Source organism: Homo sapiens, chromosome 18 (assembly GCF_000001405.40).
Source record: "Homo sapiens chromosome 18, GRCh38.p14 Primary Assembly".
Lineage (NCBI taxonomy): Eukaryota > Metazoa > Chordata > Mammalia > Primates > Hominidae > Homo > Homo sapiens.
Genome location: NC_000018.10, coordinates 57,626,369 through 57,650,803, shown reverse-complemented (window position 1 = coordinate 57,650,803; position 24,435 = coordinate 57,626,369). Strand labels below are relative to the sequence as shown.

The following is a 24,435-nucleotide window of genomic DNA, read 5'->3' as shown; positions in this document are numbered from 1 at the left end:
GTGCGGTGGCACAATTTCGGCTCACTGCAACTTCCGCCTTCCGGGTTCAAGCAATTCTGCTGTCTCCTGAGTAGCTGGGACTACAGGTGCACACCACCATGCCCGGCTGATTTTTTGTATTTTAGTAGAGACGGGGTTTCACCATGTTGCCCAGGCTGGTCTCGAACTCCTGAGCTCTGGCAATCCACCCACCTTGGCCTCTCAAAGTGTTAGGATTACAGGCATGAGCCACCACACCTGGCGAAATATTAACTATGTTCTTAGGAAAAAAGAACCACAGTGATGCATTTGCCATGTTCTTTACAGGCACAGCTTCAAACGCTCTGAGACAGCCATACATTTGGTTAACTATCATCCTGGCTGTTGCTGTGTGCTTACTACCCGTCGTTGCCATTCGATTCCTGTCAATGACCATCTGGCCATCAGAAAGTGATAAGGTATAAAGAATATAGTCCTTTCCCAACTCTGTCCCTCACAGAAACCAAAGCGTTTCCCAACAGCACGTTTCCTGCAAAATTCTAAGCTCATGGGAAGTTTGGTAAGAATGATTTTTCATGATTGCTTCTCTTTAACTCTATCTCACAAATAAGTCTTTTGGAATTGGGAGTTTAGTGTGCTTGCTTTTTAATACAAAAATTACCAAACATAAACAAAAAAGGGAGAACAGAATGAGCCCCATATATCTATCTCCTCAGTTTAACAATTACAGTATTAACATTTTGTCATACAAATCAGATTGGGTTTTTTTTCTTTATTTAAGAAAAATGTCACCTTCTGTAGCAGGATCCTTTGAGCTACAAGGAACAGAAAGCTGTGACTCAAAACATCTCTACAGTAGTGCGTCATCATTAATCATTAGTAGGCTTCAGGCCCAGTTGATTGAGCAATTTAATGTTGTCAAGAAAGGATTGGGCTGGTTCTTGCCATCTCTTCTCTCAGAAACCTTCATTATTAGCTTCATATGGATGCTGGAAGATGGCCAGAGCAGTTCTGGGTATCACTTCCTGACCTATCAGTGTCGGGGGGAGATAAGAGCCTATTCTGTAGCTCCTTAGGGGCCGTGGAACTTCTCACCCAAGGGCCCCAGTACAGTGCCCTCAGGTCTCACGTGCCAAAATTAGGTCACTTGCCCATTCTGGACTAGTTTAGCAAGGGAAATCAACCTGCCCACCGCCCATGAGAAATGTGGCTGTGAGGGGTTGGGGGGGGCAATCTGAATACAATCAATTTCCATTAGAAAGAAGGAGAGAGTAGAGGCTACTGAGGCAACCTTCAGTATCCCTCGGGTCTCCCTTTTGCAGTGCCAACAGTATGCAGTAACAACCCAGGAAAGAGGCCCTACTGAATTTTCTCTTTGACTGTACCCATCTGGTCTGAACTAGAAAAGGGCACTAGCTTCAGAGGAGTGGGAATCTTGGCTTTGCATTTTCTAGCTGTGTGACCTTGGAAAAGTTAAATAACCTTCCCTTGGCTTCAATATATATCTCCAGGTAGGTAGGTAGGTAGATCGATTGATCAATCAATCTATGTATAGATATAGAGAGATGGATATAGATTTATATCATCATATATATATGTCGATATAGATAGATAGATAGATAGATAGATAGATATAGCCAAGCACTGTGGTTCATGCCTGTAATCCCAGAACTTTTGGAGGCCGAGGCAGGCAGATCACTTGAGGTCAGGACCAGCCTGGCCAACATGGTGAAATTCTGTCTCCACTAAAAATACAAAAATTAGACGGGTGTGGCAGTGCGTGCCTGTAACCCCAGTTACTCAGGAGGCTGAGGCAGGAGGATCGCTTGAACCTGGGAGGCAGAGGTTGCAGTGAGCCAAGATCGTGCCATTGCACTCAAGTCTGGGTGACAGAGCGAGACTGTCTCAAAAACAAAAAAAAAGATATAGACACACATACACACACACACACACACACACACACACACACACAAGTGGGGACAGAACTGCCTGCATCAAAATGGGGCAGGTGTCAGGGGAGTTCATCAGTGTTCATTTCTGTCAACCGTCTGGCCAGGCCTCCTCCCTGGTGTGGATCTTATTTTCATCCCTCCCCATCTCTCCCCCTTGCAGATCCAGAAGCATCGCAAGCGGTTGAAGGCGGAGGAGCAGTGGCAGCGACGGCAGCAGGTGTTCCGCCGGGGCGTGTCAACGCGGCGCTCGGCCTACGCCTTCTCGCACCAGCGGGGCTACGCGGACCTCATCTCCTCCGGGCGCAGCATCCGCAAGAAGCGCTCGCCGCTTGATGCCATCGTGGCGGATGGCACCGCGGAGTACAGGCGCACCGGGGACAGCTGATCCCTTACCCCCAGGCTGGGATGCGGCCACAAAGCACGTCTATTTTTTTATGAAAGACTCTCAGGACTTTGTGTGTGTGTGTGAATTGCATTCATCACAAAGATATTGAAGACAATAAATAATCTTTATAACAAACTCCTTGGGTTGGACTATTAAACAATAGCAGAGCCAAGAAATAGGACTTTTAAAAGTCCTATTATTCGGCCGGGCGTGGTGGCTCAGGTCTGTAATCCCAGCACTTTAGGAGGCTGAGGAGGGGAGATCACCTGAGGCCAGGAGTTCGAGACCAGCCCAGCCAACATGGTGAAACCCTGTCTCTACCATAAATTAAAAATTAGCCGGGCTTGGTGGTGGGCACCCGTAATCCCACCTATTTGAGAAGCTGAAGCAGAAGAATCGCTTGAACCTGGGAGATGGAGGTTACAGTGAGCCGAGATTGCGCCACTGCACTCCAGCCTGGGTGACAGAGCAAGACTCTGTCTTAAGAAAAATTTAAAAATAGGCCGGGCATGGTGGCTCATGCCTGTCATCCTAGCACTTTGGGAGGCCAAGGCAGGTGGATCACTTGAGGTCAGGAGACCAGCCCGGCCAACATGGTGAAACCCCATCTCTACTAAAAATACAAAAATTAGCTGGAAATCGCTTGAACCTGGGAGGTGGAGGTTCCAGTGAGCCGAGATCGTGGCACTGCACTCCAACCTGAGCAACAGAGTGAGACACCAGCTCAAAAAAAATTTTTTAATAATAATAAAAGTCCTATTATTCAACTGGTTATGTACATTATGGTTGAAAGGGAACGTTTTAATCCAGTCTCAATCCAGGGCAATAGAATTACAAAGCATGTTGTATTTCAGTTCAAATGGTATTGTATTATAAAATTACAGTTACATTTTCCTTTCGGTGATCTTCAGCATAATTTCCCAGAGGCCCCTTTTTCCTCCCTATAGGCCATCTTATTAACAGATTTTAAAATTTATAGTAATGACAAATGACTTATCAGTGTTCATCATCTGAAAGCTAAGTGGTTCGTTCAATCACTTTTTCAAAGTTGATAGTAGATTGCATGGTTTCATGTTTCCTCATATTGGTTTATTAATTCTATTTAATCAAGGAAAATAACTTCAGATTCCATAAAGTTTCAGTTTATTTTTAGTTTACTACTAGGTGAGATAGCACATTACATACTTTTACTATCAAATATTATTTTAGCAGCTTCCCATAGTACCAAATGATTTGATTCCCTACTCTCATTTTTTAAAGCATATAAATATTTATGGGCTTAAAAAGGGGGTTTTTAAAAACTGAGGATATCAGTAATAAATTGCAGAATATTTTGCAAAGCTTTCTTTTGGAAAGCAAACTTTTGTGCCTGCCTATATGCAAAGTATTTTATCAGGGACTTGAACAAAGACCTCACTCTTTTTCACTTGTCTTATGTCGAGAGAAAAGGTTATTGGCAGCCACATTCCTAAGACTGGGGAATGGTGTGTCCTTTTAAATTTGAAGATAACTTTAGGTAATTATGGAAACTCCTCAAAGAGGAGAAAGTAATTTTTTTCCAGACATTTTTCTCATTCTGTGTCTTTCACACACTAGTTTCCATAGTTCGAGAATTCTGTTTTTTACCATTGGGCTGTGAATGTTCACAATATCAGTCCTGTTGAATTCCTATGAGGTAATCACAATGTGTATATGTTCATTTTCTAGGTATGATAAAAGAATGTATGGCTTTTTATTCTGTGGAAGTAAAATCCTGAACGTTTACAACTTTTCCTTAACTTGTAAATAAAAAATTGTAAGTTTTTTCTTTTTTTACAGAAAACTTAGCTTGTGTAATTCTGTTAGTTTCAGATTTCTCTCCTGTTTTTGCAAATTGTGGGAAAGATTGACAATGCAAATGTGTCAAAGACATACTGTTGGGTGCAATATTAACAATTTTAAATGCAAATTTCTTTGGATAAATTATTTCTATATTCTGTAAATCTGAGATTTAATGTATATTTTGTTTAAAAAAATGATTTAGTAAAATCTTTGAAAAGTATGATCTTCTAAAGTATTTAAATTGGCTTTTGTTGTTGTTGTTATTTTTAAGAATAGGGTATGTGACAGAAGAATCTAGTCCCACAAGGTTTCTAGAGGAATGTAGGGGTCCTTTAGTAGTGAGAAAGTCGGGGACAGGGAAACTAAGTGTTAGGGAAGAAGTGATGGAGAAAGGGAAACTAAGTGTTAGGGAAAAGGTGATGGAGAAAAGGTGATCAGGACCGGGCACTGTGGCTCACGCCTGTAATCCCAGTACTTTGGAAGGCTGAGGCAGGAGAATCACTTGAGGCCAGGAGTTTGAGACCAGCCTGGGCAACATAGCAAGACTCTGTCTTTTCAAAAAAAAACATCTCAGTGTAGTGGCATGTGCCTGTAGTCCCTGCTGCTTGGGAGGCTTAGGTGGGAGGATCACTTGAGCCCAGGAGTTTGAGGCTGCAGTGAGCTACGATTATGCCACTGTACTGAAGCCTGGGTGAGAGCAAGACTCTGTCTCTAAAAGAATTAAAAAGGTGGCCAGACTTTAGAGACAGAGGGGTAAAGATTTAGAGTTAGGGAGATCAGCCAGGCATGGTGGCTCATGCCTATAATCCCAGCACTTTAGGAGGCTGAGGTGGGCGGGTCACTTGAGGCCAGGAGTTTGAGACCAGTCTGGCCAACATGGCGAAACCCCGTCTCTACTAAAAATACAAAAATTAGCCGGGTGAGGTGGTGCACACCTGTAATCCCAGCTACTCTGGCAGCTGAGGCAGGAGAATTGCTGGAACCCAGGAAGCAGAGGTTGCAGTGAGCCATGATTGTGCTACTGTTCTCCAGCCTGGGCAATGGAGTGAGACTCTCTCCAAAAAAAAAAAAAAAAAAAAGGAAGATTGAGTCTGGGTTTTTCCAACTGACCTCAACTCTTTAGCCAGAATGAAAGGAAAGGTAACCCTCAACCAAAAGTAAGGACTGGGGCTGGGCACGGTGGCTTGTACCTGTAATCCCAGCACTTTGGGAGGCCAAGGTGGTGGGTCACCTGAGGTTAGGAGTTCGAGACCAGCATGGCCAACATGGTGAAACCCCATCTCTACTAAGAATAAAAAAAAGCAGCCAGGCATGGTGGTGCACACCTGTAATCCTAGCTACTTGGGAAGCTGAGGCAGGAGAATCACTTGAACCTGGGAGGTGGAGGTTGCAGCGGGCTGAGATTGTGACACTGCACTCCAGCCTGGGTGACAGCGAGACTCCGTCTCAAAAAACAAAACAAAAAAAGTAAGGGGTGAGAAGTGAGCAGATAGTCCTAGAAATACATGACGAATCGTTGGCAGAAAAATGAGCAAAGAGGAGTGAGTGAGGAAGTGAGTGGCAAACCTGGGGTTTGAGGCTGTGGGAGTCTGACGAGGCTGTGGGAGTCTGACCAGGCTGTGGGACAGACAGCTCTTGGACGCAAGGGAAGCTGTGACCCCACTAAGAAGGTTCTCTCTGCGTCGAGATGGGAGACTCTTTGGGAGGCAAAATTAGCAGCAGGTGATAGAAAAGTATCAGTCTTGGGGTGCTTGGGCTGGGAGGAGATGGGCAAATTATTAGCCTCTGCAATAGAAATGGCAGAAAAATTGAGCAGACCTGGGAGATCATCCCTAAAAAAATAAAGGTCACTTTTTCCTGCAATATACTACTGTATTTAAGTTGTTTGAGGGATAAATGTTTTTAATCAAAGAGCACCACCTAAAGGTTCTTAGTCATGTTCAGCACTAGAAACTGCTCAGTAACAACATCTGATGGGAATAAAATGATTCTTGAGAGACTTCAATGTGATAGCAAAATGTACCCTAATGGAATCTAAATATATTTTAACAATTGCTGCCTTCATGTGATGTGAATGAAACTTAGGAAAATTGTCAGCTTCTAAAAGTCCTGCTAGAAAGTTAGGGCTGCGCTACAACTTCTGGGGCATTTATAAAAATAAAAAGGCCTGTTAAAACACTGAAAACAACACAACGTAGATCTCAGGACAAAGTGGAGGTTGGGGCCCTTAAAAATAACCACTGTAATGCAATCATTTTCTTTCTGCTAAAAAATACAGTAAAGGCTGGGTGCAGTGGCTCATACCTGTAATCCCAGCACTTTGGGAGGCCCAGGCGGGCAGATCACCTGAGGCCGGGAGTTCAAGACCAGCCTGACCAACATGGAGAAATCCGTCTCTACTAAAAATAAAAATTAGCGGAGTGTGGTGGCGCACGTCTGTAATTCCAGCTACTGGGGAGGCTGAGGCAGGAGAATCGCTTGAACCCGGTGAGAGGTGACAGCGTGCTGGCAGCCCTCACAGCCCTCGATCGCTCTCGGCGCCTCCTCGGCCTTGGCGCCTACTCTGGCGGTGCTTGAGGAGCCCTTCAGCCCACCGCTGCACTGTGGGAGCCCCTTTCTGGGCTGGCCAAGGCCGGAGCCGGCTCCCTCAGCTTGCGGGAAGGTGTGGAGGGAGAGGCGTGGTCGGGAACCCGGGCTGCACGCGGTGCTTGCGGGCCAGCGTGAGTTCTGGGTAGGCGTGGGTGTCCGCGGGCCCCACGCTCCAGCAGCCAGTGGGCCCCGCCAGCCCGGGCAGTGAGGGGCTTAGCACCTGGGCCAGCAGCTGCTATGCTTGACTTCTCCCTGGGCCTTAGCTGCCTCCCCGCGGGGCAGGGCTCGGGACCTGCAGCCTGCCATGCCTGAGCCTCCCCCACACGGTGGGCTCCTGCGAGGCCCAAGCCTCCCTGACCAGCACCACCCCCTGCTCCACAGCGCCCAGTCCCATCGACCACCCAAGGGCTGAGGAGTGCAGGTGCAGGGTGCGGGACTGGCAGGCAGCTCCACCTGCGGCCCTGGTGCAGGATCCACTGGGTGAAGCCAGCTGGGCTCCTGAGTCTAGTGGGGACTTGGAGAACCTTTATGTCTAGCTAAGGGATTGTAAATACACCAATCAGCGCTCTGTATCTAGCTCAAGGTTTGTAAACACACCAATCAGCACCCTGTGTCTAGCTCAGGGTTTGTGAATGCACCAATCCACACTCTATCTGGCTACTCTGGTGGGGACTTGGAGAACCTTTATGTCTAGCTAACGGATTGTAAATACACCAATCGGCACCCTGTATCTAGCTTAAGGTTTGTAAACACACCAATCAGCACCCTGTGTCTAGCTCAGGGTTTGTGAATGCACCAATCGACACTCTATATCTAGCTACTCTGGTGGGGACTTGGAGAACCTTTGTGTAGACGCTCTGTATCTAGCTAATCTAGTGGGGATGTGGAGAACTTTTGTGTCTAGCTCAGGGATTGTAAACGCACCAATCAGCACCCTGTCAAAACAGACCAATCAGCTCTCTGTAAAATGGACCAATCAGCTCTCTGTAAAATGGACCAATCAGCAGGATGTGGGTGGGGCCAGATAAGAGAATAAAAGCAGGCTGCCCGAGCCAGCGGAGGCAATCCACTGGGGTCCCCTTCCACACTGTGGGAGCTTTGTTCTTTCATCTTTGCAATAAATCTTGTCACTGCTCACTCTTTGGGTCCACACTGCCTCTATGAGCTGTAACACTCACCGTGAAGGTCTGAAGCTTCACTCCTGAAGCTAGCGAGACCACAAACCCACCAGAAGGAACGAACAACTCCAGACGCGCCACGTTAACGGCTGTAACACTCACCGTGAAGGTCTGAAGCTTCACTCCTGAAGCTAGCGAGACCACGAACCCACCAGAAGGAACGAACAACTCCACACGCGCCACCTTCACGGCTGTAACACTCACCGTGAAGGTCTGAAGCTTCACTCCTGAAGCTAGCGAGACCACGAACCCACCGGAAGGAACGAACAACTGCAGACGCGCCACCTTAACGGCTGTAACACTCACCGTGAAGGTCTGAAGCTTCACTCCTGAAGCTAGCGAGACCACGAACCCACCGGAAGGAACGAACAACTCCACACGCGCCACCTTAACGGCTGTAACACTCACCGTGAAGGTCTGAAGCTTCACTCCTGAAGCTAGCGAGACCACGAACCCACCGGAAGGAACGAACAACTCCACACGCGCCACCTTAACGGCTGTAACACTCACCGTGAAGGTCTGAAGCTTCACTCCTGAAGCTAGCGAGACCACGAACCCACCGGAAGGAACGAACAACTCCACACGCGCCACCTTAACGGCTGTAACACTCACCGTGAAGGTCTGAAGCTTCACTCCTGAAGCTAGCGAGACCACGAACCCACCGGAAGGAACGAACAACTCCAGACGCGCCACCTTAACAGCTGTAACACTCACCACGAAGGTCTGCAGCTTCACTCCTGAAGCCAGCGAGACCATGAACCCACCAGAAGGAAGAAACTCCGAACGCATCTGAACATCAGAAGGAACAAACTCCGGACACGCCGCCTTTAAGAACTGTAACACTCACCGTGAGGGTGCGCAGCTTCATTCTTGAAGTCAGTGAGACCAAGAACCCACCAATTCCGGACGCACTGGGAGGCGGAGGTTGAAGTGAGCCGAGATCGCGCCATTGTACACCAGGATGGGCAACAAGAGTGAAACTCCATCTCACAGGAAAAAAACGAACAAACCAAAAAATAAAAACAGTAAAAATGATTTTCTTGATTAGATATTCCTCCGAACAAGAGATACAGTGGGTGGCTCACGCCTGTAATCCCAACACTTTGGGAGGCCGAGGCGGATCACCTGAGGTCAGGAGTTTGAGACCAGCCTGACCAATATGATGAAACCCCGTCACTACTAAAAATACAAAAATTAGCTGGGAATGGGGGCATGTGCCTGTAATCCCGGCTACTCGTGAGGCTAAGACAGGAGAATCGCTTGAACCTGGGAGGTGGAGGTTGCAGTGAGCCGAGATCACGCCACTGTACTGCAGCCTGGAAAATAAGAGAGAAACTCCATCTAAAAAAAAAAAAAAGATATAAATGGTCAATAAGCATATGAACAGATGCTCAACATCATTAGTCATCAGGGAAAGTCGTCAAAACTGAGGCCGGGCACCACCGTGTAATCCTGTAATCCCAGCACTATGGGAGGCTGAGGCAGGCGGATCACCGGAGGTCAGGAGTTGGAGACTAGACTGGCCAACATGGTGAAACCCCATCTCTACTAAAAATACAAAAATTAGCCATGCGTGGTGGCATGCACCTGTCATCCCAGCTACTCGGGAGGCTGAGGCAGGAGAATCATTTGAATCCAGGAGGCAGAGGTTGTGGTAAACTGAGATTGCATCACTGCACTCCAGCCTGGGTGACAAAGTGAGACTCTGTCTCAAAGAAAAAAAGAAAAAAAAATCACACTAGAAAGGGTTGATTCTTCCTACAATAACTTAAAAATGGCATATAATCCTCATAAAAATGCAAACAGTTTCCTGTAATGGGCTGATTCTAAAGTTCATATGGAAAAATTAATGTCAGAAAACTAAGCAATGAGGTGAGACCACTCCTACCAGATATTACGCCATATTATAATTTGAAAAACAGTTTCAGTAGTGTGGTTCTGATGCATGATTACACAGACATTCCATGGAACAGAACAGAAAAATCCAGAAATAGCCTCAAACACGTGAACATTTACTATATAAAGTGGCATCAAAGGTGGGTGGGGGGAAAGATGGACTGGTGTTGAGACAACAGGGAAACAAATTAGATATCATGCACTGTAGTAGAATAGGCTCCAAATAATGAAGAGATTTCAATGTAAAAGAAAAAAAAACTCATCAAAGTATTTGAAGAAAATCACGAGGAAATTCAAATACTGGAGTGGGGAAAGACTTTCTAATTAAGACTAAAAATCTAAAGCCTCAAAGGAAAGGCTAGTAATTTCAAATGCATAAATATTTTTAAAACCTCCATTATGGCAAAAAAAAAAAAAAGAAAAAGAAAAAAGGTATAAGCAAAGATGGCAAAATGGAGAAAAAGTGTGCGAGTCTTAGTTCAGGCTGCTATGACAAAATACCACAAACTGCGTGGTTTATATAAGCAACAGAAATTTTTTCTCACAGTTCTGGCAGAAGCTAGGAACTCTTAGGTCAAGGGGCTGACAGATTTGGTGCCTACTGAGGAAATGCTTTCTGGTTCACAAATGGTGCCTTCTGACTGTGTCTTTACGTGGTGGAAGGGGCCAACAAGCTCCTTCAGGACTATTTTATAAAGACATAATCCCTCCTGATTTAATCACCTCTGAATGTCTCCACCTCCTAGTATCACCTTGGAGGTTAGGATTTCAGCATATGAATTTTAAGGGGGCACAAACCTTCAGACCATAGCAGCCAAGGTTGTGAAAACAAAAAGTCAGAAAAAAGGAAATACAATGGGGCGGGGTGCGGTGGCTCATCCCTGTAATCCCAGCACTTTGGAAGGCCAGGGTGGGCGTATCACTTGAGGCCAGGAGTTTGAGACCAGCCAGGCCAACATGGTGAAACCCTGTCTCCATTAAAAATACAAAAATTAGCTGGGTGTATAACTATAGTGCCAGCTACGAGGGAGGCTGAGGCAGGAGAATCACTTGAACCTAGGAGGCGGAGGTTGCAGTGATTTGAGATTGCACCACTGCACTCCAGCCTGGGAAACAGAGCCAGACTCTGTCTCAAAAAAAGAAATACAGCTGGGCGCGGTGGCTCACGCCTGTAATCCCAGCACTTTGGGAGGCTGAGGCAGGCGGATCACGAGGTCAGGAAATCGAGACCATCCTGGCTAACACGGTGAAACCCTGTCAAGGTGTGGTGGCGGGTGCCTGTAGTCCCAGCTACTCGGGAGGCTGAGGCAGGAGAATCGCGTGAACCCGGAAGGCGGAGCTTGCAGTGAGCTGAGATTGCGCCACTACACTCCAGCCCAGGCAACAGAGCGAGACTCCATCTCAAAAAAAAAAAAAAAAAAAAGAAAGAAATACAAATGGCTCTTCAACACATGAAACAATGTTTAAACTTACCTGAAATAAAGAAGTGAAAATCAAAATGATTTTGATAGGCCATCTTCACCTATTAATTTGGCAAAAACAAGAAAGTTTGGTAATGCACTGTTAAGGCTATGGCAAAACAAGCCTTCTAATGTATTAATGAAAAGTATATAAATTATGAAACTCTAGGAAAGGATTTAGCCATAACCATTAATTTTTTTTTTTTGAGATGGAGTTTAGCTCTGTCACCTAGGCTGGAGTGCAGTGGCGCAGTCTCAGCTCACTGCAACCTCTGCCCCCCAGGTTCAAGCTATTCTCCTGCCTCAGCCTCCCGAGTAGCTGGGACTACAGGCGGGTGCCACCACACTCGGCTAATTTTTTGTATATTTTTTTAGTAGAGATGGGGTTTCACCGTGTTAGCCAGGATGGTCTCAATCTCCTGACCTTGTGATCCGCTCGCCTCAGCCTCCCAAAATGCTGGGATTACAGGCGTGAGCCACCGCACCTGGCCCTTGCCAGTAAAATGTTAAATGTATATTCCCTTTGACCTGGCAATCACACTTCTCAAATTCATCCTGCAGATATATTTGCCCACAAGGGAAATGACACGTACAGTGATTATACTGCAGCACTGTTTGTAATAGCAAAATATCAGCAGTAAGCTAGCAATCCATCAGTTTCACTACAGTTAAATGAAATAAGTTCCATCCCAACAAAAGGATACAATGAAACTATAATGGGAGCTAAGGGAGAAGAATGAAAGATCTCCATTCATTGTGGAGTGTGAAGAGCCAGGTGCAGAACTGTGTGTATGGGGACAACCTTTCATATAAAAAAGAAACAAGAGGAGGCAATTAAATTGATGTGTAGAGTCAATGCAATTCCAATTGAAATCCCATGAGATTCTTTTTTTGGTAAAAATTGATAAGCTGATTCTAAAATTCATCTGGAAATGCAAAGGACCTAAAATAGCCAAAATAACTCTGCAGAAGAAAAACAAAGTTGGAGGAAGAACACTACTTGATTTTGAAAGTTGTTACCAGCATGGGCTGAAGAACGACTAGTTAAGTACTATGCTGACTGCCTGGGGGACAGGATCGCTGGGACCTCAAGCCTCAGAGTCATGCGATTTACCCATGCAACAAAGCTGCACATATACCCTTTAGTCTATAATAAAAGTCAAAATTTTAAAAATAAAATAAATGTGAAATTAGGGCCAAAAAAGAGAAAATTGTTATAAAGCTATAGCAATCAAAACAGCATAGTATTGGCTTAAAGAGGGCAGATAGATCAATGGAACCTAATAGAGTCCATAAATAAATCCATACATCAATGGACAACTGATATTGAACAAGGTTACAAAAGCGATGAGGTAGAGAAAGGATGGCCATCTCAATAAATGGTGCCGGGACATTTGATATCCACATGCGAAAAAATGAACTTGGATCCCTACCTGGAACCCCGTACCTTGTCCTCACAAAAGATCTGAACAGATACTTCAACAGAGAAGATACAGGTAAAGCAAAAATGCACATGAGAAGATGCTCAACATCATTAGTCACTAGGGAAATACATGAGAAAACTTTTTGGTAGGCCAGGCGCGGTGGCTCACGCCTGTAATCCTAGCACTTTGGGAGGCTGAGGCCGGTGGATCACGAGGTCAGGAGATCGAGACCATCTGGCTAACACGATGAAACCCCGTCTCTACTAAAAATACAAAAAATTAGCCGAGCATGGTGGTGGGTGCCTGTAGTCCTAGCTAATCGGGAGGCTGAGGCAGGAGAATGGCATGAACCTGGGAAGCGGAGCTTGCAGTGAGCCAAGATCAGGCCACTGCACTCCAGCCTGGGCAACAGAGCAAGACTCTGTCTCAAAAAAAAAAAAGAAAACTTTTTGGGGTGATGGATTTTTTCCCTAACCCCAATTGTGGTGATGGTTTCACAGGTATACACATATGTTAAAACATATCAAATTGCACATTTTAAATGTGTACACTTTGTCATATATATTTTTTTCCTTTTGAGATGCGGTCTCTGTTGCCCAGGCTGGAGTGCAGGGGCACAATCTTGGCTCACTGCAACCTCTGCCTCCCAGGTTCAAGAGATTCTCCTGCCTCAGCCTCCTGAGTAGCTAGGATTACAGGCATGCGCCACCATGCCCAGCTAATTTTCGTATTTTCAGTAGAGATGGGGTTTTACCGTGTTGGCCAGGCTGGTCTTGAACTCCTGACCTTAGGCGATCTGCCCACCTCAGCCTTCCAAAGTGCTGGGATTACAGGCATGAGCCACAGTGCCCAGGCTGTTGTATATTATTTATGCCTAAAAAAAAAAAAAAAGGCCGTTTTAAGGGAAGGAATAAAGGAGGTAGATTTAGAGGAATATAGTCATATTTTCAACAAGAATCTCTAGATATAAAAGAGACTAGTAGGGCAGGCGCGGTGGCTCACGCCTGTAATCCCAGTACTTTGGGAGGCTGAGGCGGGTGGATCACGAGGTCAGGAGTTCGAGACCAGCCTGGCCAACATGGTGAAACCCCGTCTCTACTAAAAATATAAAAATTAGCCGGACGTGGTGGCAGATGCCTGCAATCCCAGCTACTCGGGAGGCTGAGGCAGAGAATCACTTGAACCCGGGAGGCAGAGGTTGCAGTGAGCCGAGATCACGCCACTGCACTCCAGCCTGGGTGACACAGTGAGGCTCCGTCTCAAAAAAAAAAAAAAAGAGACTACAGTTGTTATGAGGAGTGAGACTTTTAAATATTGAATTATCTTTTCATACTTTAAAAATATTGAACCATATGAATACATTTTCTATTTCAAAAATTAAACAATAAAAAATAGAAATGATTTTTAGGCCAAAGGGAGTAATCTGAGTTAATATTTTTCCTGCTTAAGTCACAAAGACTCCCAAACTGAAACTCGCCCAAGCCCACAAGCTTCTCCCTAGAGCAGCAACCCCAGCTCTTCACATTGTCCTCTTGGGTGACTGGCAGTGCCCAGAGATGGGGACTTCCTGTTCATGGCTATAGACAGAGTGGTGTGTTTTGTTAGGCCATTTATATGCAGACACATATTCTTTGCGCTCAGAAGAGTCTGGATAACATCTTAAAGTCGTGTCAAAACAGTGGAAAGCACCAATGGAATTTGAAAGAATGTTTTCAGAGTCAAAGACCAGTATGGATTTACCACTATATTGTCCAATTAATGATCAGCTAAGATGACCTCAGCAATAAGATGCATAGAAAGAAATAACTCTCATAGTTTTAAAATTATCAGGAATTTTGCTTCAAAACCTGAATCAAATAGCATGTATTTGTATTAACAAATAGTAATTTGTATTAATCAAATAGTAATGTATTAACAATATGAGAAAGGAAAATTTTAACATGGAGAGAAATTTAAACTTCCTGATCTAGGATGGTGGTTAAAATCCAAGGTGCTGGCCTGGCGCGGTGGCTCACGCCTGTAATCCCAGCACGCTGAGAGGCTGAGGTGGGTGGATCATTTGAGGTCAGGAGTTGGAGACCAGCCTGATCAACATGGTGAAACCCTGTCTCTACTAAAAGTACAAAAATATTACCCAGGCATGGTGGCGCATGCCTGTAGTCCCAGCTACGGGGAGGCTGAGGCAGGAGAATCGCTTGAACCCAGGAGGCGGAGGTTGCAGTGAGCCAAAATCACATCACTGCCCTCCAGCCTGGGGGACAGAGCAAGACTCCGTCAAAAAAAAAAAAAAAAAAAAAAAAAAAAAAAAAATCCAAGGTGCTCTGGCCAAGTTTAAGACATAGATTGTCTCACTCCAGATAACCGGTTTAGGATTTCCAGTTGGAAAGATGTCAATATTCCTTTGGCCCCTGATGCTGTGAGACTGTTGCAATTATTCTGGAAGGCTGTTGTAAGCCCTGAAATGTCTCCTTGTTTCTTTTCCATAAGAGGATTAAAGATATTGGATCTGGCTTGTGAAGTGAATGTGGGAGGGTTTTTTAGTCTAGCATTTCTCATCAGGAATCAATTCTCCCAGTTGACAAGAATCAACCTTTAGAATAGAGGTTGATTTGCCCACTGGGAGTCATCTTGCAGTTTCATTATAAAATGGTTCTGCTGAGCCAAGCTGCATAATGAATAAACCAGTCTATGGAAATGCTATAGGAGGTTTTCTATTACCATCCATTTGGGGGTTCCCACCTACCTTCAGCTTCCTTATTTAAATTTTGTGTGAACAACATAAAAACTTTGTGTTCATTGAAGAGTTTAATAAAAACAACACAAAGGACTGTTTCTAAAGGAGCTTTGAAAGTTCAAGATTCTAGAAAACTTATATCAAGATTTTATCACTGCAAACATCTTGAGTAAATAGAAACTCAAAAGAGCTCTTTTATATTCACTGTATTTGTCAAAGACTGAGCTATTTTATAGGATTTTGTGGCTTGGGGTGAAAGTATTTTTATGACCTGTTCTAACAGAAAAAAAAAAAAACCCAAACCTGATTAAGATATCATCAGCTGAGCTTCTGAGACCCCCCGAGACCCCTTGGAGCCTCAACTCCGGCCGGGCATGGTGGCTCACGCCTGTAACCCCAGCACTTTGTGGGACCAATGCAGGCGGATCACTTGAGGTCAGGAGTTCAAGACCAGCCTGTCCAACATGGTGAAACCCCATCTCTACTAAAAATACAAAAATTAGCCAGACGTGGTGGCAGGCGCCTGTAATCCCAGGTACTTGGGAGGCTGAGACAGGAGAATTGCTTGAACCTGGGAGGTGGAGGGTGCAGTGAGCTGAGATCATGCCATTGCACCCCAGCCTGGGGGACAGAGAAAGACTTCATCTCAAAAAAAAAAAAAAAAGTCTCAATTCCTATAAACTGATACATGATCGTTCTTCAAACTAACCAAGCGGACTTCATTGCTTTTAGAGGACACAATTAATTCTCTCTGAAAGTTTCCCCACCTCTATAGAGAAAATGTTTTTCTCTCTTTGACTCTGTCTTCACCTTTCTGAACAGCTATCCCAAACCCCACATCGTACCCAGATCAATTCAGTGAAAAAGCTAGCCTGGGCTAAAGTTAATTGTACCTTTAAAAAGCAATAGGGCTGGGCGCAGTGGCTCACACCTGTAATCCTAACACTTTGAGAGGTTAAGGTGGGCATATCCCTTGAGCCCAGGAGTTCGAGACCAACCTGGGCAACAAGGCAAAACCCCCAAACCCCGTCTCTACAAAAAAAAAAAAAAAAAAAAATTAGCCAGGTGTGATGGTGTGTGCCTGAAGTCCCAGCTACTTTTGAGGCTGAGGTGGGAGGATCACCCCTGTCTCAAAAGAACAAATAAAAAATAGTCGGGCGTGGTGGTTCACGCCTGTAATCCCAGCACTTTGGGAAGCCGAGGCAGGCAGATCACCTGAGGTCGAGAGTTCAAGACCAGCCTGACCAACATGGAGAAGCCCCGTCTCTACTAAAAATACAAAATAAGCTGGGCACGGTGGCGCATGCCTGTAGTCCCAGCTACTTGGGAGACTGAGGCAGGAGAATCACTTGAAGCTAGGAGGCGGAGGTTGCGGTGAGCTGAGATCGCTCCATTGCACTCCAGCCTGGGCAACAAGAGCAAAACTCCGTCTCAAAAAAATAATAATAATAAATAAATAAAATAAATAAAAATAAGAAGCAGCTCTCCCTCTCCCTCTCCCTCTCTCTCCCTCTCCCCTCTTTCCACGGTCTCCCTCTGATGCCGAGCCGAAGCTGGACTGTACTGCTGCTATCTCGGCTCACTGCAACCTCCCTGCCTGATTCTCCTGCCTCAGCCTGCCGAGTGCCTGCAATTGCAGGCGCGCGCCGCCACGCCTGACTGGTTTTCGTATTTTTTGGGTGGAGACGGGGTTTCGCTGTGTTGGCCGGGCTGGTCTCCAGCTCCTGACCGCGAGTGATCCGCCAGCCTCGGCCTCCCGAGGTGCCGGGATTGCAGACGGAGTCTCCTTCACTCAGTGCTCAATGGTGCCCAGGCTGGAGTGCAGTGGCGTGATCTCGGCTCGCTACAACCTCCACCTCCCAGCAGCCTGCCTTGGCCTCCCAAAGTGCCGAGATTGCAGCCTCTGCCCGGCCGCCACCCCGTCTGGGAAGCGAGGAGCGTCTCTGCCTGGCCGCCCATCGTCTGGGATGTGAGGAGCCCCTCTGCCTGGCTGCCCAGTCTGGAAAGTGAGGAGCGTCTCTGCCCGGCTGCCATCCCATCTAGGAAGTGAGGAGCGTCTCTGCCCGGCCGCCCATCGTCTGAGATGTGGGGAGCGCCTCTGCCCTGTCGCCCCGTCCGGGATGTGAGGAGCATCTCTGCCCGGCCGCCCCGTCTGAGAAGTGAGGAGACCCTCTGCCTGGCAACCGCCCTGTCTGAGAAGTGAGGAGCCCCTCTGCCCAGCAGCTGCCCCGTCTGAGAAGTGAGGAGCCCCTCCGCCGGGCAGCCACCCCGTCTGGGAAGTGAGGAGCCCCTCCGCCCGGCAGCCACCCCGTCTGGGAAGTGAGGAGCGTCTCCGCCCGGCAGCCACCCCGTCCAGGAGGGAGGTGGGGGGGTCAGCCCCCTGCCCGGCCAGCCACCCCATCCGGGAGGTGAGGGGCGCCTCTGCCCGGCCGCCCCTACTGGAAAGTGAGGAGCTCCTCTGCCCGGCCAGCCGCCCCGTCCGGGAGGGAGGTGGGGGGGTCAGCCCCCCGCCCGGCCAGCCGCCCCGTCCGGGAGAGAGGTGGGGGGGTCAGCCCCCTGCCCGGCCAGCCACCCCGTCCGGGAGGTGAGGGGCGCCTCTGCCCAGCCGCCCCTACTGGGAAGTGAGGAGCCCCTCTGCCCGGCCAGCCGCCCCGTCCGGGAGGGAGGTGGGGGGGTCAGCCCTCCGCCCGGCCAGCCGCCCTGTCTGGGAGGTGAGGGGCGCCTCTGCCCGGCCGCCCCTATGGGAAGTGAGGAGCCCCTCTGCCCGGCCACCACCCCGTCTGGGAGGTGTACCCAACAGCTCATTGAGAACGGGCCATGATGACAATGGCGGTTTTGTGGAATAGAAAGGGGGGAAAGGTGGGGAAAAGATTGAGAAATCGGATGGTTGCCGTGTCTGTGTAGAAAGAGGTAGACATGGGAGACTTTTCATTTTGTTCTGTACTAAGAAAAATTCTTCTGCCTTGGGATCCTGTTGATCTGTGACCTTACCCCCAACCCTGTGCTCTCCTGAAACATGTGCTGTGTCCACTCAGGGTTAAATGGATTAAGGGCGGTGCAAGATGTGCTTTGTTAAACAGACGCTTGAAGGCAGCATGCTCGTTAAGAGTCATCACCACTCCCTAATCTCAAGTACCCAGGGACACAAACACTGCGGAAGGCCGCAGGGTCCTCTGCCTAGGAAAACCAGAGACCTTTGTTCACTTGTTTATCTGCTGACCTTCCCTCCACTATTGTCCTGTGACCCTGCCAAATCCCCCTCTGCGAGAAACACCCAAGAATGATCAATCAATAAATAAATAAATAAATAAATAATAAAAAAAAAAATAAGAAGCAGTGGTAAGCCAGAGCATACACAGCCTGGAAAGCCTGTAAGGATGTTGAGGTGAACCCTGAGAGCAAAAGGAAGTCCATGGAAAGTTGCTAGATAGAGAATGAAATGACTGTGTTTATATTTGTAAGTGTTCGCCCTGGCTGGAGTGTGAAGATTAGATTGGAGAGGTGTGGGGAATCCAGAAGATGGGTGGAGAGGTTAGCCAGAGGGAGGATGTGACTTGCATTGCACTAGAGGGAAAGGATGGATGCCAAAGCACGAGAGTTTGCAGGTTTCAAGGGAGGGCTGTCAGACAGCATCCATTTAATAGCTTGAAGCAAGAGACTGGTCATTTGCTGAGATTTGGGGCTGTGGGAAGGACCTACGGTTTGAGACATTCTGAAATGCTGACCAGAAAGCCCACTGTTGGGGGAAGACAGGTTTAGTGGGAAGGGCAAATTGAGAGACGAGGTCCACCAAGCAGCTCTCAGCAGTTTGAAGGCTTCAAGTTGTTATTCATGCATATCATGGAACAAAAGAATAACAATGATTAACCATTAATGCCATTTATATCCTAATTCAGAAAGCTTACTGGATGTCAAGTACATGTTAGGCATATTTTGGTATAGCTGATCTCATATTATCCTCACAATAACCTTCCCAGTGAAGGGTTATTATCACTTTATAATTGAAACATCTGTGGCTCAGAAAGGTTAAGAAACTTGACCAGGCTCACCAAGCCAGAAAATGAGTTCTGTGATCTATGGAACGTATCTGGCTTCATTCAGAGCTCTAACGGTACAGGAGTTACCATTGTTCACCCTCCTTAAAGAATGAGCATCCAGCGGGACTTTAAAATAACTGTAATTTTTTTTAGTGAGAGACAAGGTGCTTACAAGCAAGCAGCTTGCAATCATGAAGCCTGGGAATCACTGAAGCAAATCTAAGTGCTTAAACTTAACTACAGGAAAAGGAAAGTTAAGTTTTCGGTTCCTCAAATTAATATTTTCATTGTAATGATAATTTCCACTTTTAGTTTGCCGTTTACAAGCCAATTTTATTTTTTATTGCATCTATCTATCATCTATCTATAATTTATTTATTAATTAGAGACAGGGTCTCTCTCCGTAGCCTCAGGCTGGAGTGCAGTGGCGTGATCACAGCTCAGTGCAGCCTCGACCTCCATGGCTCAAGCGACCTCCCACCTCAGCCTCCTAAGTAGCTGGGACCACAATCCCATGCCAATAAGCCCGGCTAATTCTTGTATTTTTTATAGAGGGGCGGGGGCGGGGGTGGCTCACCACGTTGCCCAGGCTGGTCTCGAACTCCTGGCCTCAAGCGACCCTCCACCTCCGCTTCGGCCTCCCAAAGTGCTGAGATTACAGGCGTGAGTCACCGCCCTCGATCTCATTTAAAATATAACTGAGATTTTCCAACTGCTTCACTGATTTGTTAACTAAGTGAACTCTGCTTGGACCCCTCCCCGATTCCCGGTACTGGGACAGGGAAACGAGCCCTAGAGGCGCCCGCAGTGATGTTTGCCTGTTCTCTTACCGAAGCCTGTTATGAGGAGCAAAAAGCAGAATGTCCAAGAAGGCTCTTTGAAGATGTCTGTGAGTTTGCCTGGGGACAGCTCCTGGAAGGCGGTGTCCCCGCGACTAGGGCGAGCCCCGGATTCCCCATCATCCCGGACTCCCCAACACCCGGAGGCGCGGCGCCACGAACAGGACCAAGTAGGAAATGCAAGACCACGCGCCAGAAACGCGGAAGTGGCCCGGAGACAACATGGCGGCGCCGGCGTCAAGTGCCCTAACCCCGGACCGGCGGCCTGGTACGGTGGCCTGTGGGGGACGCCACATTAAAAGAACAGAGACGCTCATCCTGCGCCTGGTAGGGCGAAGTGGGGTCCGGTAAAGCGACCTTCAGCGCAAAGCTGAGGGGGCGCAGGGACCTAACAGCAAGGACCGCAGGGGGAGGCCACCCCTTGCTGGCCAGAATCAGAATGAAGAGACAGACGATAATGCCGTTCATTCTGGCCGTCCCGAGTAGCTGGGACTACAGGCGTGCGCCCACCACGCCAGGCTAATTTTTTAAAAATTTTATGGAGACGGGGGTCCCACTATGTTGCCCGGGCTGGTCTTGAACTCCTGGCCTCATGTGATCCTCCCACCATGGCCTCCCAAAATGTTGAGATTACAGGCCTGAGCCACCGCACCTGGTCATTCAACTATTATTTTAAGCCACACACTTCTGCATAATAGAGCATGTATTATTAGTCTACTATTGCCACACTAAAGAGGTGTAACAAAATGCCTCCCAAACTCAGAGGCGTAACCCAACAATCGTTTATTCTCACTTATGCATCTGCAGGTCACTGATGTGGGCTGAGTTCAGCTGGACGTGTCTCCAAGCTGAAGATTGGGTCCCTGTCTTCTCCATGTCTCAGCTTCCCTGGACCAGTGGGTCAGTCAGGGCGTGTTCTTCTCATGGTGGTTGTTCACAGAAAAAGCGGTCTTGATCCAGACCCCAAGAGAGGCCTCCTGAATTACACGCAGGAAGGAATTCAAGACAAGTTGCAGGGTACGGTGAGAGTTTATTGAAAGCGCCTCCATTACAGAGTAGGGCGTCCTTAGGAAGCAAGCAAAGGAATGCCCCGTCTTTGTTTTAGCTTTTTCTTTTTTTTTTTTTTTTGAGATGGACTCTTGCTCTATTGCCCAGGCTGGAGTGCAATGGCACAATCTCGGTTCACTGCAACCTCTGCCTCCTGGGTTCAAGCAATTCTCCTGCCTCAGCCTCCTGAGTAGCTGGGATTACAGGCGCCCGCCACCACGCCTGGTGAATTTTTGTAGTTTTAGTAGAGACAGGGCTTCGCATGTTGGCCAGGCTGGTCTCAAACTCCTGACCTCAGGATGATCCACCCGCCTCGCCTCCCAAAGTGCTGGGCCACTGCGCCTGGCCATTTTAAATTTTTCATATATAGGCCGGGCGCGGTGGCTCACGCCTAATCCCAGCACTTTGGGAAGCCGAGGTGGGCAGATCACAAGGTCAGGAGATCGAGACCATCCTAGCTAACACGGTGAAACCCCCATCTTTACTAAAAATACAAAAAATTAGCCGGCTGTGGTGGTGGGCGCCTGTAGTCCCAGCTACTTGGGAGGCTGAGGCAGGAGAATGGGTGAACCCGGGAGGTGGAGCTTGCAGTGAGCCGAGATTGCGCCACTGCACTCCAGCCTGGGAGACAGAGCGAGACTCTGTCTGAAAAAAAAAAAAATTTGATATATAGGGGTTTTGTCTATGTAAAGGCTAAACTAAGCTGTGTCTTTGTGCATGTGGTCTGACAGCATGACAAAATTTATTATTTTATTGATTTAAAGAAAACTCTCCTTGACATTTTAGTGTATAAGTACATTAAAGCATAACTATAATTATCTTGAAAGCATATATTACGGGTATTGGGACATCTGGTCTTTCTGTTGTTACAGGATTGTGTCCTTGCAGGTATCTTTAGGCTGTTTTCTCAACTGTAAACATCTTATGACCATGGGTTGTGACTGGCAAGGAGTCTCAAGATGGAGCTCAACTTAAAATGGTGTCACTCTGGCCCTCCTAGGCCTCGGCTTCTCTAACAATGGCAGAAGCAAGAACACAAGTCCAACTGCACAAACACATTGTAAACCTTTGCTTGCATCACACCTGCCAATATCCTATGGCCAAAGTAAATGCACATGGCTAAGCCCAGCAGAAATGAAGCAGGGAAGTATATTCCTTCTGTATGGGAGAAGGGAGTGTGAAAGGAAAATATCTTGGACCCCCAAAATATTTTCCTTTTTACGAAGGAAAACTCAAGCTGGAAACTGCTTAAGACAAACCTGCCTCTCATTCTATTCAAAGTTATCCCTCTGCTCACTGAGAGAGATGCACATCTTATTTGCCTCCTTTGGAAAGCCTAATCAGAAACTCAAAAGAATGCAACCATTTGTGTCTCACTTATCTGTGACCTGGAAACCCCCTCCCTGCTTCAAGTCTTCCTGCCTTTGCTTCAAATTGTCCTGCCTTCCCAGACCTAACCAATGTAATTCTTCTACTGATTGATGTCTCGTGTCTCCCTAAAATGTATACAAGCAAGCTGTGCCCGACTACCTTGGGCACATGTCGTCAGGACTTCCTGAGGCGGTGTCATGGATGCATCCTCAATCTTGGCAAAATAAACTTTCTAAATTAACTGAGACCTGTCTCTGATTTTCTGGGTTCACAGAAGCATGTCTGATTATTTTAAATAATAATCTAACACAAAGAACATGGTTAGACCACTGAATTCCATAGGTATGAGCTCACTGTCACACTTCCTTTACTGAAAATGTGTCCTGGGGTGAGAGATGCTGAATACCATAAAGACACATGCAGCGTTCTGTAAGTCCATAGATGTGGGTGCTGCAGGCAGAGAAGGCGCATCCCTGTGTGGACTGAGTCTATACCTGGGAGGCATATTACTGCCTCCTCCAGGAGTCTGATCTAATTTACTTGCCGTCAAGTGGCCAGCTGGTCTCCCTAAAGAATCGTGTCCTGGCCAGGTGCGGTGGCTCACGTCTATAATCCCAGCACTTTGGGAGGCCGAGGTGGGGGGATCACAAGGTCAGGAATTAGAGACCAGCCTGGCCAATATGGTGAAATCCTGTCTCTACTAAAAGTACAAATATTAGCTGGGTGTGGTGGTGGGCGCCTATAGTCCCAGCTACTCAGGAGGCTGAGGCAGGAGAATTGCTTGAACACAGGAGGCAGAGGTTGCAGTGAGCCAAGATCACGCCACTGCACTCCACCCTGGGCAACAGAGCAAGACTCCGTCTCAAAAAAAAAAAAAAAAAAAAAAGAGAAGAATAGAGAAAAAAGGAAAAAAAAGAATCGTGTCCTGTCAGTTTCTCAAAGTTGGCTTCTGCTGTTGGCAGGTTGGGTACTTAACAGTGACAGTGGCCAGCAAGATCAGCCAGGATGAAGGGCAGTTTATGAGGTTGAACACATGCATAGCCTCTATCCTGTTACTATAGCCACTTCACATATGGGCTCTTTGAGCAAGAACTGAGATGTTTTGGGAGGAAAAGTCCAACATCCAGAGATGACAGAGACCTCCTCCATACCAAATGCCTTCTGATAGATGTTTGCAGAGGACAAGAAGTCTTCACATTCAGTGCCCATTCAAAAAGGTCCATCCACATCCCCAGCAGACCTCCTGTACCTAATCTTTAATCTTGTTCTTTCTTAGTCCCTGATCAACTGGCCAACCCGTGAGCCAGTGTCCATCAGTCCTTTTTTTGTTTGTTTTTTGTTTTTTTTTTTGAGATGGAGTTTTGCTCTTGTTGTGTAGGCCGGAGTGCAATGGTGCAATCTTGGCTCACTGCAACCTCTGCCTCCCAGGTTCAAGCGATTCTTGTGCCTCAGCCTCCTGAGTAGCTGGGATTACAGGTATGCCCCACCACACCCAGCTAATTTTTGTATTATTAGTAGAGACGGAGTTTCTCCTCGTTGGTCAGGCTGGTCTTGAACTTCCAACCTCAGGTGATCCACTTGCCTAGGCCTCCCAAAGTGCTGGGATTACAGGCGTGAGCCACTATTGCCAGCCTGGTCCTTCAGGCCATCCCTACTTAGCTGAGAAGTGGAAAACCAGGCACAGTGCTCAGAGTTCCACCATCTGAGATGACTTCCCTTCACC

General features: G+C 47.2%; 1 protein-coding gene and 1 long non-coding RNA gene across 13 annotated transcripts in view, besides 8 other annotated features; one reads left to right on the top strand and one right to left on the bottom strand.

The window, feature by feature from the left end:
- Nucleotides 1–4,378, top strand: part of ATP8B1 (ATPase phospholipid transporting 8B1) — a 156,890-nt gene extending 152,512 nt beyond the window's left edge. For all 12 annotated transcript variants that reach the window (XM_047437547.1, NM_005603.6, NM_001374386.1 and 9 more), the window contains 2 exons: nt 307–437; nt 2,092–4,378. In XM_047437547.1, the coding sequence (XP_047293503.1) occupies nt 307–437; nt 2,092–2,316 (356 nt within the window). In that variant the 3' untranslated portion in view covers nt 2,317–4,378. The remainder of the gene's footprint in view (nt 1–306; nt 438–2,091) is intronic.
- The window catches only part of ATP8B1-AS1 (ATP8B1 antisense RNA 1), a 38,953-nt gene extending 18,480 nt beyond the window's left edge, over nt 1–20,473 (bottom strand). The window contains exons 1-2 of the long non-coding RNA NR_164148.1: nt 20,286–20,473; nt 8,752–9,245 (exon numbers count right to left, since the gene is read on the bottom strand). This is a non-coding gene — a long non-coding RNA (ATP8B1 antisense RNA 1). The remainder of the gene's footprint in view (nt 1–8,751; nt 9,246–20,285) is intronic.
- Nucleotides 871–1,020: an enhancer, noted in NCBI's record as "active region_13377". NCBI's record gives its function as "activates an Ori minimal core promoter by ATAC-STARR-seq in GM12878 lymphoblastoid cells {active_cell/tissue: GM12878}" and the evidence as "EXISTENCE:reporter gene assay evidence [ECO:0000049][PMID:35858748]".
- Nucleotides 6,286–6,796: an enhancer, noted in NCBI's record as "H3K27ac-H3K4me1 hESC enhancer chr18:55311240-55311750 (GRCh37/hg19 assembly coordinates)". NCBI's record gives its function as "activates a minimal SCP1, AML or CMV promoter by ChIP-STARR-seq in primed H9 embryonic stem cells {active_cell/tissue: H9 hESC(primed)}" and the evidence as "EXISTENCE:reporter gene assay evidence [ECO:0000049][PMID:30033119]".
- Nucleotides 6,797–7,308: an enhancer, noted in NCBI's record as "H3K27ac-H3K4me1 hESC enhancer chr18:55310728-55311239 (GRCh37/hg19 assembly coordinates)". NCBI's record gives its function as "activates a minimal SCP1, AML or CMV promoter by ChIP-STARR-seq in naive H9 embryonic stem cells {active_cell/tissue: H9 hESC(naive)}" and the evidence as "EXISTENCE:reporter gene assay evidence [ECO:0000049][PMID:30033119]".
- Nucleotides 17,086–17,934: an enhancer, noted in NCBI's record as "H3K27ac hESC enhancer chr18:55300102-55300950 (GRCh37/hg19 assembly coordinates)". NCBI's record gives its function as "activates a minimal SCP1, AML or CMV promoter by ChIP-STARR-seq in naive H9 embryonic stem cells {active_cell/tissue: H9 hESC(naive)}" and the evidence as "EXISTENCE:reporter gene assay evidence [ECO:0000049][PMID:30033119]".
- Nucleotides 20,212–20,701: an enhancer, noted in NCBI's record as "active region_13376". NCBI's record gives its function as "activates an Ori minimal core promoter by ATAC-STARR-seq in GM12878 lymphoblastoid cells {active_cell/tissue: GM12878}" and the evidence as "EXISTENCE:reporter gene assay evidence [ECO:0000049][PMID:35858748]".
- Nucleotides 20,212–20,725: a biological region, named in NCBI's record as "H3K27ac hESC enhancer GRCh37_chr18:55297311-55297811".
- Nucleotides 20,225–20,725: an enhancer, noted in NCBI's record as "H3K27ac hESC enhancer chr18:55297311-55297811 (GRCh37/hg19 assembly coordinates)". NCBI's record gives its function as "activates a minimal SCP1, AML or CMV promoter by ChIP-STARR-seq in primed H9 embryonic stem cells {active_cell/tissue: H9 hESC(primed)}" and the evidence as "EXISTENCE:reporter gene assay evidence [ECO:0000049][PMID:30033119]".
- Nucleotides 20,772–20,821: an enhancer, noted in NCBI's record as "active region_13375". NCBI's record gives its function as "activates an Ori minimal core promoter by ATAC-STARR-seq in GM12878 lymphoblastoid cells {active_cell/tissue: GM12878}" and the evidence as "EXISTENCE:reporter gene assay evidence [ECO:0000049][PMID:35858748]".